General features: G+C 52.2%; 1 protein-coding gene across 7 annotated transcripts in view, besides 5 other annotated features; it reads left to right on the top strand.

Annotated features, from left to right (window-relative positions):
- The window catches only part of UNC13A (unc-13 homolog A), an 87,019-nt gene extending 74,358 nt beyond the window's left edge, over positions 1-12,661 (top strand). For all 7 annotated transcript variants that reach the window (XM_011527810.3, NM_001387022.1, NM_001387023.1 and 4 more), the window contains 3 exons: positions 2,142-2,234; positions 3,898-4,057; positions 7,643-12,661. In XM_011527810.3, coding sequence (XP_011526112.1) covers positions 2,142-2,234; positions 3,898-4,057; positions 7,643-7,943 — 554 coding nt within the window. In that variant the 3' untranslated portion in view covers positions 7,944-12,661. The remainder of the gene's footprint in view (positions 1-2,141; positions 2,235-3,897; positions 4,058-7,642) is intronic.
- Positions 7,271-8,175: an enhancer, noted in NCBI's record as "H3K27ac-H3K4me1 hESC enhancer chr19:17716631-17717535 (GRCh37/hg19 assembly coordinates)". NCBI's record gives its function as "activates a minimal SCP1, AML or CMV promoter by ChIP-STARR-seq in naive H9 embryonic stem cells {active_cell/tissue: H9 hESC(naive)}" and the evidence as "EXISTENCE:reporter gene assay evidence [ECO:0000049][PMID:30033119]".
- Positions 7,271-8,186: a biological region, named in NCBI's record as "H3K27ac-H3K4me1 hESC enhancer GRCh37_chr19:17716631-17717535".
- Positions 7,337-7,556: a silencer, noted in NCBI's record as "silent region_10357". NCBI's record gives its function as "represses an Ori minimal core promoter by ATAC-STARR-seq in GM12878 lymphoblastoid cells {active_cell/tissue: GM12878}" and the evidence as "EXISTENCE:reporter gene assay evidence [ECO:0000049][PMID:35858748]".
- Positions 7,927-8,186: a silencer, noted in NCBI's record as "silent region_10356". NCBI's record gives its function as "represses an Ori minimal core promoter by ATAC-STARR-seq in GM12878 lymphoblastoid cells {active_cell/tissue: GM12878}" and the evidence as "EXISTENCE:reporter gene assay evidence [ECO:0000049][PMID:35858748]".
- Positions 8,176-9,080: an enhancer, noted in NCBI's record as "H3K27ac-H3K4me1 hESC enhancer chr19:17715726-17716630 (GRCh37/hg19 assembly coordinates)". NCBI's record gives its function as "activates a minimal SCP1, AML or CMV promoter by ChIP-STARR-seq in primed H9 embryonic stem cells {active_cell/tissue: H9 hESC(primed)}" and the evidence as "EXISTENCE:reporter gene assay evidence [ECO:0000049][PMID:30033119]".

The raw sequence follows: 13,459 nt of genomic DNA, 5'->3' as shown, positions 1-13,459 counted from the left end.
GGCTCATGCCTGTAATCCCAGCACTTTGGGAGGCCGAGGCGGGCAGATCACCAGGTCAAGAGATCGAGACCATCCTGGCCAACATGGTGAAACCCCGTCTCAAAACTACAAAAATTAGCTGGGTGTGGTGGTGTGCACCTGTAGTCCCAGCTACTCAGGAGGCTGAGGCAGGAGAATCGCTTGAACCTGGGAGGCCGAGGTTGCAGTGAGCCGAGATTTCGCCATTGCACTCCAGCCTGGGCGACAAAGCAAGACTCCATCTCAAAAAAAAGAAAAAAAAAAAAAAAAAAAAAAGAAACTTAAGATTCTGCACTAGAAGGGAAATAGGGGTAAGGAAAATAAAAGATGCCGCTATGAGCTGTCACATCAGGAGGGATGAGGATTCTGGGCCAGGTGATGCAATGAGGTGACCTGTGGGGCTGGGTCAGAGTTAACAAGGGCAAGAATGGGGTGAGTGGGGAGAGGTAATAGTAACCTATTGGAAAGGGCCACTATTGGAAGGGGTGTTGCAGGTCACAAAAACCACTTTGATTATCTCAGAGTGAGGTGGGAGCCATGGAAGAGTTTGGTTTTGCTTTGTTTTGTTTTTTGAGACAGTCTTGCTCTGTCACCCAGACTGAAGTGCAGTGGCGGGATCATAGCTCACTGCAGCCTCAACCAGCTGGGATTAAGCGATCCTCCTGCCTCAGCCTCCTAGATAGCTGGGACTACAGGTGCATGCATCACCACACCTGGCTAATTTTCTTTTCTCTCTCTTTTTTTTTTGAGACAGGGTCTCTCTCTGTCACCCAGGCTGGAGTGCAGTGGTGCAATCTCAGCTCACTGCAACCTCTGCCTCCCAGGTTCAAGTGATTCTCCTGTCTCAGCTTCCCAAGTAGCTGGGATTACAGGCGTGCACTACCACACCCGGCTAATTTTTGTATTTTTAGTAGAGACAGGGTTTCGCCATGTTGGCCAGGATGGGCTTGAACTCTTGACCTCAAGTTATCTGCCCACCTCAGCCTCCCAAAATGCTAGGATTACAAGCATGAGCCTCCCAAAGTACTGGGGTTACAGGCATGAGCCACCACTGCCCGACCCATGGAAGAGTTTTGAGCAGAGGAGGGACATGATCTGACTTTTAAATGTTATTTATTTATTTTTTAATTTTCTGAGACAGGGTCTTGCTCTGTCACCCAGGTTGAAGTGCAGTGGTGCGATCTCGTCTCACTGCAGCCTGGACCCTTCTGAGCTCAAGTGTTCCTCCCACCTCAGCCACCAGAGTAGCTGGGGCTACAAGCACGCCCCACCATGGCCACTAATTTTTGTATTTATTGTAGAGATGGGGTTTTGCCATGTTGCCCAGGCTAGTCTCAAACTCCTGAGCTCAAGTGAGTTTGCCTCACCCTCCCAAAATGCTGGGATTACAGCTGTGAGCCACCGCGCCCTGCCGACATGATCTGACTTAATAGGATTTTTCTGGCTGGTATACTGAGAGTAGATGAAAGAGTGGAAGGAAGACCAGCAAGGAGGCTACTGCAATAGTCCAGGCATGGGATGCTGGGGGCAGGTGTAGGATACAGGGAAAAGACATGGCTCTGCTTCTGGATGTATTTTGAAGGTAGAGCTGGCAGGATTTTCCAGTTTATGGGCACCTAGGGAGGAAGTGAAGACAAAGAAGAGTGTCAAATATTGAGGTGCAGGGTCAGTTTGAGGACCCACGGAGGAGAAAATGACAAAAGGGGGTTGGAGGGAGTGACAACTATGTAGGATGAGAATCGAGTTGGTGACATTGTTGCAGCCAAGAGGACAAACAGCCACAGGAGGCCAGGGTGCCAGATGCTGCCAAGATGTAATGTAACATGAAGACTGAATTTTGACAACATGGCAATCAATGGAATAAGAAAAAAGAAAAGAATTGCATTAGGCTCAGAGAGGTTAAGCAATCTACCCAAGATCACACAGCAAGGCAGTAAAAGGCCAGAACCCAGGATTCTTGGCTTCCCAAGAGCACCTCCCATCCTGGCCCCCCATCAGTGCCTCCCTATCAGGGCTGATGACCTGGTGCCGCCAGCACAGGTGGGTGGGAGGCCGTCAAGGTCCCTCCTGGTGGGTGGGAAAGAACAGAGCTCACGCTGACCATCCTCCCCTGCCCTGCCCAGGCTTGGGTGTAGAAGACCCTGTGGGTGAAGTCTCTGTCCATGTTGAGCTGTTCACTCATCCAGGAACTGGGGAACACAAGGTCACAGTGAAAGGTGAGTGGTCTGAGGTGGGAGGGACTTGCTAGGTTCTAAAACAGAAACCAAACTCAAACTGGCTTAAGCAACACCCTTTTTTTGTTGTTGTTGTTTAATGGTCCATGAAACGGAAACGTCCAAAGGTGGCCACCTTCAGGCATGGCTGGATCCAGCAGTGTAAACAGTTTTGTAAGACTGAATCCCACTTTCTCCATCTCTCAGCCCTGCTTTCCTTTTCTTGGCTTTTGTTGACTAGAACACAGATTGGGCTGTTTTTGACATGGCTTAAATAAGACAGAATTAGGCCAGGCACGGTGGCTCATGCCTGTAATCCCAGCACTTTGGGAGGCCAAAGCTGGCGGATCAGGCCAGGAGTTCAGACCAGCCTGGCCAACATGGTGAAACCCTGTTTCTACTAAAAATTCAAAAAGTAGCTGGGTGTGGTGGCGTGTGCTTGTAATCCCAGCTACTCAGGAGGCTGAGGTGGGAGGATCGCTTGAACCCGGGAGGTGGAGTTTGCAGTGAGCTGAGATTGCGCCACTGCACTCCAGCCTGGGTGACAGAGTGAGACTCCATGTAAACAAACAAACAAAAATGATAGAATTGGTTTTTCTCTGGGATAACAGTTTAAGTAGCAACCAGCCTCGAGCTGATATGGAGGCTTCGCAGTGTTGGTGATCTGTGCTGCTGCCATCTTTTGTTGCATTTTCATCCCTAATGTGTTGTTGTTGTTGTTTGTTTGTTTTAGAGGCCAGAGTCTCACTCTGTTGCCCAGGTTGGAGCGCTGTGGTGCAATCACAGCACACTGCAGCCTCAAACTCCTGGGCTCTAGCGATCCTCCTGCCTCAGCTTCCGGAGTCGCTGGGATTGCAGGCATGCAGCATCACACCTGGCTACTTTTTAAATTATATTTTTGTAGAGATGGTGTCTCACTATGGTATCCAGGCTGGTCTCAAACTCCTGGCCTCAAGCAGTCCTCCCACCTGGGCCTCCCAAAGTGCTGGGATTCCAGACGTGAGCCACCATACCTGGACCCAAATGTGTTTTTCCTCCACTATAGGGTCACAAAGAGCTCAGCCCCCACAAGCATTGCAGACTGCGGCTAGAGGAAGGAGAAAGTTTGGGGTTCACTCCCTGCCTTTTAAGCCACAGTGGAGAAGTAGTACACGTGATTTTTTTCTCTCACCTCATTGGCCAAAACATAGTCATATGACCACACTTAGCTTCATGGCAATGCTGGGAAATGTAGTCTTTATTTCAGACAGGGTTTTTGGCGGCGGGCGAGGGGTGGGGTGTTTTTATTTTTTATTTTTTTTAGACAGGATCTTGCTTTGTCACACAGGCTGGAGTGCAGTGGCACAATCTCAGCTCACTGCAACTGCCGCCACCCAGGCTCAAGCAATCCTCCTGCTTTAGCCCCACAAGTATGTGGGACTACAGGCGCGTGCCACCACGCCCAGCTGATTTTTGTATTTTTCGTAGAGACAGGGTTTCACCATGTTGCCCAGGCTGGTCTCAAACTCCTGGACTCAAGTGATCCACCCGCCTTGGCCTCCCGAAGTGGTGGGATTACAAGCGTGAGCCACTGCGCCCAGCCTTGGGCAGGTTTTGAGAGCCACAAACATCTACTTTTTCCAACTGGGAGAACCTGACCTGTCTTACCCTCTACTTCCTCCAACAGTGGTGGCTGCCAATGACCTCAAGTGGCAGACTTCTGGCATCTTCCGGCCGTTCATCGAGGTCAACATCATTGGGCCCCAGCTCAGCGACAAGAAACGCAAGTTTGCGACCAAATCCAAGAACAATAGCTGGGCTCCCAAGTACAATGAGAGCTTCCAGTTGTGAGTTTGGGATGCTTTGAAGAGCATGGGGGCAAGGGAGGGGGCATCCGCCAGGTGAACCCCAAAGCCAGCTAGGCAGGAGGTATCTGGAATCTGGGCCCGGGAATGGGAGGGGCCACATTCTAGGTGGGGGTGCTGGAAAGGGAGACCCCTTAGTAGTGCAGGAATGACATCAGGGAGGGGACACGAGGATGGAGGTCACCTTTGGGGGCTGGCAGATCCAAGGGGAGGCAATGAGTAGAGTGGGGTAACTTCATGATGAAGACTTGCAGAGGGGAGGGAAAGTCTGGGCAGGAAGTGCATGGTGGGCAGGGCCATTGCTGGGGCTGGAGACTCTGTCTGGTGAAGGAATGAGGGTGGCAGTGATGACGCTTATGAGCGGGGGGCTGAGGGACCTGGGGACAGGACTGAGGTTGCATGGGGGTGGGGACTACTGGAGTCTACATTGAGCCTTGTCAGGACCGTTGGGGCAGCCCATCTGGAGGAGTCGGCTCTGGGGACAGGAGTGGAGTGTAGATGGATCCCAGGCTTGGGGGTGGGTGTCACGTGGGGTGGAGGTGGGGTCACATTGGATGGAGGTTCTTGGAGTTGGGAGTGGGCCTAGGCTGCGGGTATCAGGATAGGGTCTAGAGGATGCTGATGATGTGGACAGCATAAAAAAGTCTGCTCTGGCCGAGTGTGGTGGCTCACACCTGTCATCCCAGCACTCTGGGACGCCGAGGCAGACAGATCACCTGAGGTCAGGAGTTCAAGACCAGCCTGGCCAACATGGTGAAACCCCGTCTCTACTAAAAATACAAAAAAAAAAAAAAAAATTAGCCGGGTGTGGTGGCGCACGCCTGTGATCCCAGCTACTCGGGATGCTGAGGCAGAAGAATCGCTTGAGTCCGGGAGGCGGAGGGTGCAGTGAGCCAAGATCGAGCCATTGCACTCCAGCCTGGGCAACAAAAGCGAAACTCCACCTCAAAAAAAAAAAAAAAGTCTGCTCTGGCCGAGCATGGTGGCTCACGCCTGTAAGCTCAACACTTTGGGAGGCCAAGGTGGGCAGATAACTTGAGGCCAGGAGTTCGAGACCAGCCTGGCCAACATGGTGAAACTCCATCTCTATTAAAAATATAAAATATGGCTGGGTGTGGTGGCTCACACCTGTAATCCCAGCACTTTGGGAGGCCAAGGCGGGCAGATCACGAGGTCAGGAGATCGAGACCATCCTGGCTAACACGGTGAAACCCCGTCTCTACTAAAAATACAAAACCTAGCCAGGCGTGGTGGCGGGCGCCTGTAGTCCCAGCTACTCGGGAGGCTGAGGCAGGAGAATGGCGTGAACCCGGGAGGCAGAGCTTGCAGTGAGCCGAGATCGCACCACTGCACTCCAGCCTGGGCAACAGAGCAAGACTCCGTCTAAAAGAAATATATATTATATAATTATATATAAAATATGTATTTATATTATATAATTATATATAAAATATGTATTTATATTATATTATATAATATATAATAAATATATATCATATAAATATATTTTTATATATTATATATAAATATATATATATTTATATACATATATAATATATATTTATATTATATATAAAATTATATATAGTATATATTATATAGTATAAATAAAATTATATATAGTATATATTATATTATATATAAAAGTATATATATTATATATTTCATATATTATATATTGTATATAATATAGTATATACAAAAAATATTAGCTGTGTGTTGTGGTGGGCGCCTGTAATCCCAGCTACGCGGGAGGCTGAGACAGGAGAATCGCTTGAACCCAGGAGGTGGAGGCTGCAATGACCCAAGATGGCGCTACTGCAGTCCAGCCTGGGCTACAGAGTGAGACTCAAAAAAATAAAAAATACAGAAATTAGCCGGGTGTGGTGGCAGGCGCTTGTAATCCCAGCTACTCCAGAGGGTGAGGGGTACGAGAATCGCTTGAACCCAGGAGGCACAGGTTGCAGTGAGCCATGATTGTACCACGGCACTCCAGCCTGGGCGACAGAGCAAGACTCTGCCTCAAAAAAAAAAAAAAAAAAAAAGTCTGTTCACGGGGGTAGATGGATGGTGGTGGTTAGCAAGGGTAGAGTTGGGGTCATCCGGGGTAGATCCTTGGGTCGAGTGTCAGCCTCACAGAGCACTGGGGCAGGGCAATGTTGTTGGATGTTCTTAGGAGACAGAAGTGCAGAAGAAAGTAGTCCCAGCTACCTGGGAGGCTGGGGCAGGAAGATCGCTTGAGCTCAGGAGTTTAAGGCTGCAATGAGCTATGATTGTGCCACTGCACTCCAGCCTGGGTGACCGACATAGCGAGACCCTGTCTTTAAAAAAACAAAAAACTATGGGCCAGGCGCGGTGGCTGACGCTTGTAATTCCAACACTTTGGGAGGCCAAGGCAGTGGATCACCTGAGGTTAGGAGTTCGAGACCAGCGTGGCCAACATGGTGAGACCCCCCCCCCCGCCACCCCCATCTGTACTAAAAACACAAAAAATCAGCCCGGTGTGGTGGTGCATGCCTGTAATCCCAGCTACTAGGGAGGCTGAGGCAGAAGAATCGTTTGAACCCGGGAGACAGAGGTTGCAGTGAGCCGCGATTGTGCCACTGCACTCCAGCCTGGGTGACAGAGGGAGATGCCCACTCAAAAAATAAAAATAAATAAAAATAAATAAAAATGCACAGGGGTAAGGGTAAATCAGAGCTGGTTAGCTGGTATTATCTAGGGGGCCTGGGAGCTCTTATGGGACAAGATTGAAGCCAGTTCCATGTCGTGTCAGCACAGGGCTCTTGGTCAGAAGGTTTTGGGGCGATTGGCCCCTTTAGGGGATACTCAGGAGGAGAAGCATGGTCTAGTGGGAGGTCAGATGTCAGCCAGGGTGGGCCGGAGTACTTCAGGGATAGAGGTACAACCTGGGAGGTGGACAAGAGGGAGAAGCTGGGCGTGACCCTGTAGGAGGGGCTCTTATCCAGCTGGCGTCAGGGCAGGTCACTGGGACTGCTTAGGGGCAGGAGCACAGGTGAGGGGCATGCGGGAGGCGGTGTCACCCATGGTGAGGCACCAGGGCAGGCTCATGTCTGGAGGGCATCTTGGAAGTAAGAGGGGTGGGCTGGGGGTGTGGGGGGCTGGGGAAAGGGCCACGTCGTGGGTCTAGAGGAGAGCCTGGTTAAAGAGCTTCTGGGTGGGACATTAGGGGCAGGGCCGTGCGGGCAGCAGTTCAGCCGGCAGAGGGCACAGGCGCGGGTATCTCAGGGTGGGAGCATGGCCTTGCAGGGCGGTGTCTGAGGGGCGGGAGCTGGATGTAAAACTATGCGGTCATTTTTCGGTGGGTGGAAAAATGGGAAGAACAGGCGTGGGCGTGGCCCAGCTCGGGGTCAGCTGCTGTGGGCGCGGCCAAGCACAGGGTTGTAGGTCAAGTAACGGGGCAGGGGCGGGGCTAGCGTAGCGTGGGAGGTGACAGGTGTGGGCACCCCGGTGTGGGCGTGGCCCGCAAATGCGGTGGGGACGGGGCCGTGGGCGGGGCATCACAGTAGGTGTGGCCTGTCTCACGTTCCGCCCCTCCCCACGCAGCACGCTGAGCGCCGACGCGGGTCCCGAGTGCTATGAGCTGCAGGTGTGCGTCAAGGACTACTGCTTCGCGCGCGAGGACCGCACGGTGGGGCTGGCCGTGCTGCAGCTGCGTGAGCTGGCCCAGCGCGGGAGCGCCGCCTGCTGGCTGCCGCTCGGCCGCCGCATCCACATGGACGACACGGGCCTCACGGTGCTGCGAATCCTCTCGCAGCGCAGCAACGACGAGGTGGCCAAGGAGTTCGTGAAGCTCAAGTCGGACACGCGCTCCGCCGAGGAGGGCGGTGCCGCGCCTGCGCCTTAGCGCGGGCGGTCGGCCGAGCGGCACTGCGCCTGCGCGGAGGGCGCTGGGCGGGGAGGGACGGGGCTTGCGCCTTGGTGGGACCTCCCCAGGGGCGGGGCTCGGGGGGCTCCACGCCAAGGGTGGGCTGCGCCTACGCCCTTGACTCAGCTTTCCCTTTTGGGGAATTAGGAATGGAGGATGCCCCGCCCTCTCGGGAGGCCACGCCCAAGGGCGCGACGAAGGAAGGAGCCACATCCCCAACTTGAGGCCACGCCCCCAGCACCTAGGGGGCATTTTGAGCTGGGATGGGGGAAACCTCGTCCCTATGGAGGAGGCCACATCCCGGGGCTCTGGTACCGGGAGGCACCACCTCATGTCCCCTGGAAAAGCCATAAGATGGGACCCAGACCCCTGGGACCCCAGACCAATTGCCAAGTATGGAAATCTCAGCTCCCTCGAGGGGGGGCCCTGGGCAAGGGGTAGGGCTCTCTGGAGCGCCCCTCTAGGTGGCCTGGGGACTGGAGGGACCAGGATGCTGGTTGGAGGGCCCCGGAATACCGGAGTCCCTTTAGATATTTGTGCAAAAAATAAATGGGGGGAGGGGGGAGGATGGGATTTCAAAAGCACATGCGCCCTTGGGCGCCCAAACCCTGGGGGCCGAGGGGACGGCTCTGGTTCCCCACGCTGCCCCTACTTCCCTTTGGGAGTTTGCCTCTCCCTCTCCCCCAACAAACCCAGTCCTCATATCATAGAGTTCAACACACCCATTTGACAGATGGCAAAACTGAGGCTTAAAGAGCTGCTTGAGACTTGGCCAAGGTTCCAGGTGCCATACCCTCTGTGCCCCTCCCTTAGGCCTGTGTGCCCCATGGAAGGGTGGGCTGAGATCGGGATGACCTGACACAGCTCCCTATTGCTGCTAATTCCCCCTCGGCCTCCTCCAAGGGGTGGGAATTCCAGGCCAAGACCCCTACTTCGCCTTTCCTTCTCCGGCTGCCAAGCAGGACCTTTGCCCTCAGCCCTTTCTCCTGGGATCTCCATGGGGGATGCCATGAGGGCCTCCCACCACAAAAGAGAATTTGGGATCCCCTGGTCCCAGGTTTCTCCATCCCTTCTTCCTTTTCCAGAATTTTCCAAATAGGAAAGAACAGAAGGAGACCAGAAACTCTAGGGGGGAGAAAGAGAATGAGAGAAAGAGAATGAGAGAGAGAGAAACACAAACACAGTGACACAGTGAGAGCTTAGTCTCCAAGAGCCTATTCATTGATTCAAACACCCAAGCCACAGGATACCTCAGATGGCCCTCTTGCCAGCTGGAAGCTCTTTCTCCAATGAGCAAAGTTACAGTGACCTGGCTGGAGTTACCTGGTGCACATAGGACCTTAGGGGAAAGTTCAGCGTGGACTACACTTGCTCTGGGATCTGCTTTTCCACATGTGTGTATGGCACGCCTTTTTCTGCTGGATTGGGAAGGACAAGATTTTGCTGTGCTAGGGAGAAATGAAAACGGGGTGAGCTGAGTAGCTGGGTTTCTGGAGGATAGAACATCAGATGGGGAGGCTTTCCGAGGTGAAGAATGAGAGGGAACCACTTACTAGAGAGAAAAGAGCTCCAGGCCTGGGGAACAGCACGTGCGAAGGCCAGGAGAGAAGAACTGTTGAAACAACGAGAAGGGTGGCACGGCTGGAGCTGAGCCAGCAAGGGGGATCGTGAGGAGCCTTGGGGTTGGGGAGATCTGCAGAAGCATCAGACCAGGCAGGGCCTCGTACGCAGTCCTGAGGAGTTTTACTTTTATTCTAAGACAGTTGGGGAGCTCCAGGAGCTGTTTTAAGTTGGGGAGAGACTGGATTCCAGCCTGCAAAAGCTGTTTTGTGAAGACTAAAACCAGTGAGGAGAGGTGGAGGTGCTTTGGGGACACTGAAATGGATTCTTGGAAAGATTCTGAAGGCTGTGTTGAAAAGACACCTATAGCTGTGGGGACATGACTATAATCCCAGCATTTGGGGAGACCGAGGCTGGCAGATCACTTAAGGTCAGGAGTTTGAGACCAGCCTGGCCAACATGGCGAAACCCCATCTCTGCTAAAAATACAAAAATTAGCTGGGTGCAGTGGTGCATGCCTGTAGTCCCAGCTACTCAGGAGACTGAGGCGGGAGAATTGTTTGAACCCTGGAGGCAGAGGTTGTAGTGAGTCGTGATCACACAACTGCACTCCAGCCTGGGCAACAGAACAATACTCCATTCCCTCCCCTCTACCCCACCAAAAAAAAAAAAAAATCCTGCCCTTAGATGAGCTCTAGGGCTGCTGAGTACAGTTGTCCCAGTTGCACAGTGCCCAAGGGTTTGGCATTGCTAAGAAGGCCACGTGCAAATCCTAGATATTGAGTGTTGTATGTTTGTGACGTTGGTTTCCCGACATGTGAATGGCCCAAGTGTCTGGAAGAAGTGGCGCCACTTTCTAATTTGCTTGGAGATGTTGCATGTCCCTTAAATTCAGACAGGTGCAGGTAACTGGAGGTTCTGAACCAAAGGTTAAAATGCAAATTCTCATACAGGGTTGGGAAGTTGTAGCCAGGGATAAGCTTATGTGACTGTTATATGGACTGAGGAGCAGATGTGAATTTCGAACCATGACATGGCTGAGGGTAGGGGTCGGGTGGATGGATGATTCAGGGTTGTAACCCATAGAGCCCAAAGGGGAAGTGATCTGTGACCTGGGGTGAGGGTGATCTGGAAGATTTTTGGATGGCTGGAAAGAAATGGGGAAGTCGAGCTGCCTGAGAGAGCCAAGTTATTTCCCAAAAGATTCCTTAGGAGTCTTTCTGTTCAAGACCTCCGTGTGTGTGTGTGTGTGTTTAGGGTTCCCCAGCAATGGCCCAGGCATGTGAAGGAAACAAGCTTCTTCAGGGAATATTTGTTGAATGAGTTTTCCTGACTCCCAGGCTAGAACTGTTTTTGCAATTTCCACCCTCTTTTCTTTCCCCCAGAGAACTCCTATTCGTCCTTCAAAACCCATCACGGAAACCCCTCTTGGAGAAAACCCTCCTTCCTTCCCCTCAGGACTTTCCCAGCCACCGTCTCTCCTCCAGTCCAGCCTGATGCCATGGGACTGGGGGTTTCTCTGTCCAGCTCTGTTTCTCCCAGACTGGGGTCTGAGGACTCTCAGGACCCCCAACTTTACCTAGCACAGGCTGGGCACAAGTGGGTGACAGGGAGTCTACGCCTAGTGGAATTATGTATTGGGGCAGGGTCAGTGTGAGAATACACATCCGCATGCATGTCTGTCCATGTCTGTCCGTACCAACCTTCCCCTTCCACACGGACCTGGGCACATAGGAGGTGTCTGAGCCTGACACATGGGACAGAGAGTGGACATGGCTGAGACACGGACAGAGAAAAGACAAGGAGTCCAGGGGGCTGAAAGCCTTTTGAAATCAGGAAGTTCCTGTATTGGCAGAACAAAGCCCAGAGAGGAGCAGGGCTTTCCTCAACGCCACCCAGCAAGTGGACACAGAGCCCGGCCTTGGATGACACCTCCAGGGTTCTGAACCCTGGACCTCGCTTTATGCAAGGAGCTGGCCCCACATTTCCATGAATCGGGGAAACAGCACAAGAAGGTTGGCCTGTGGCAGGGCAAGGGTTAAAGGGGTGACATTGAGGGATGCCTCAGAGTCAAAGTCCCCTGACCAAGAGGAATAGAGTAGAAAACACAGAGACAGAGGGTGAGATCACGCCCCGATGAGGACGGAGAGAGACAGAGATGGAGAGAGACATAGAGGTGGAAATATACAGAGAAAGATAAATGCAGAGACCAAGGCAGGGAGTGTCGGGGGAAGTAAAGAGGGTGTCCTGAAGAAAGAAGGATCTGTTCACTCTTACCAGTCTGTCCTCGAATGATTTGCATAAAATGAGGAGGTGCCTGTCCACACCCCCAATTCCTCTCTCAGGCCCCAGAGCCTGAGACCTCACCATGCCCCCATCAGAGATGCAAAAAACTAAACACCCAACTAGAAATCCTTGGGACCTCTCTCGGCTGGGATCTCAGAGCCTTTCTGTCCCCTACCCCTACCCCATGTGCTGTCGATTTTGCAGATGGGGACAACCTGGGGCCTCCCGGAACTCTGCCACCCTGGGGAAGTTGGGGGAGGGCCTTAGTCCCGGATCACAACCCCGTCTGCTCCCCAGAATCCTTTCCTAAGAATCGTTGAGGACCAAAGTTGTCTTTGCTGACACGTGTTGCTTTTCTCTTTGCCTTTTATTGTTTCAGAGAAAAATCAAGTTGACTGTGTCAAGTAACACCCCACCCCTTACCCCCGTCCAGCCATAGTGGCTCTCTGGAGACACAGGTCACAGGCGGAGGGTCCCCTGATCATCCCCAACCACACAGCCAGGGGGACTTGACCCCTGTCCACCCCTGTCTCGTGCTCCCTCAGACCCCCACAAACCGGCCAAGCAGTCCGGGGAGGCTTCCCCTCCACACAACTCTTAGCATGTGATTGCAGATGTGAAATCAAAACGTTGTTTGTTTTTTGTTTTGTTTTGATTCTACCCCGTCGGTCCAGTGTCTGCACAGACGCCTTCATTTCTCTGTAAATATGTGACTTGGAACAAATGTTTAACACAAACGAGAAGTGGTCATGAATGCATGGTGTTGAGATGTTTTGCACTATTCTGACTTTTTGGTCTCTGTAAAAATATTTTATTAACAGCAGACATTAAAAAAAGAAAAACCACACACAGCCTTGGACACGTGGTTGCCTCCTCCTTGCATTCCTTTATCAGCAAAAAAACAAAAACAAAAACCTCACGTACGATTAGCACCTACTAGGTAGGCGCAGACTCAGTAGAACACACTGCTTGCCCATGAACGCGGCTCATCCGCAACTGGAGTCATCCCCATTTTACAGAGAAGGAAACTGAAGTACAGAGAGACAAGATCTTGCTCAGATCACATAGCCAGGAAGAGATGGAGCTGGGACTTGAACTCAGAACATTTGCAACCATTGCTTTTTTTTTTTTTTTTTGAGATGAAGTCTCTGTTGCCCAGGCTGGAATGCAGTGGTGCAATCTCAGCTCACTGCAATCTCCACCTCCCAGATTCAAGCGATTCTCCTGCCTTAGCCTCCTGAGTAGCTGGGATTACAGGCGCCCGCCACCTTGCCTGGCTAATTTTTGTATTTTTAGTAGAGATAGGATTTCACCATGTTGGCCAGGCTGGTCGCGAACCCCTGACCTCAGGTGATCCACTCCCTCGGCCTCCCAAAGTGCTGGGATTACAGGCGTGAGCCACCGCACCCGGCCATCTGTTGCCCTTAAGGAAGTTAAGATACAAACACTAGGAATACATGCCCTTAATTCAACCCACACCCCCATGCTTGTTTGGTTTTGTTGGGTTTTTTGGGATCTTCTTGTTTGTTTGTTTTTGAGACAGGGTCTTGCTCTGTCACCCAGGATGGAGTTCAGTGTCACAATCTCAACTCACTGCATCCTCAACCTCCCAGGCTCAGGTGATCCTCCCACCTCAGCCTCCTGAGTAG

This window comes from Homo sapiens, chromosome 19, assembly GCF_000001405.40.
Source record: "Homo sapiens chromosome 19, GRCh38.p14 Primary Assembly".
Classification (NCBI taxonomy): domain Eukaryota; kingdom Metazoa; phylum Chordata; class Mammalia; order Primates; family Hominidae; genus Homo; species Homo sapiens.
The sequence above is the reverse complement of the archived record's forward strand: the minus strand, read 5'-3'. Positions and strand labels throughout refer to the sequence as shown.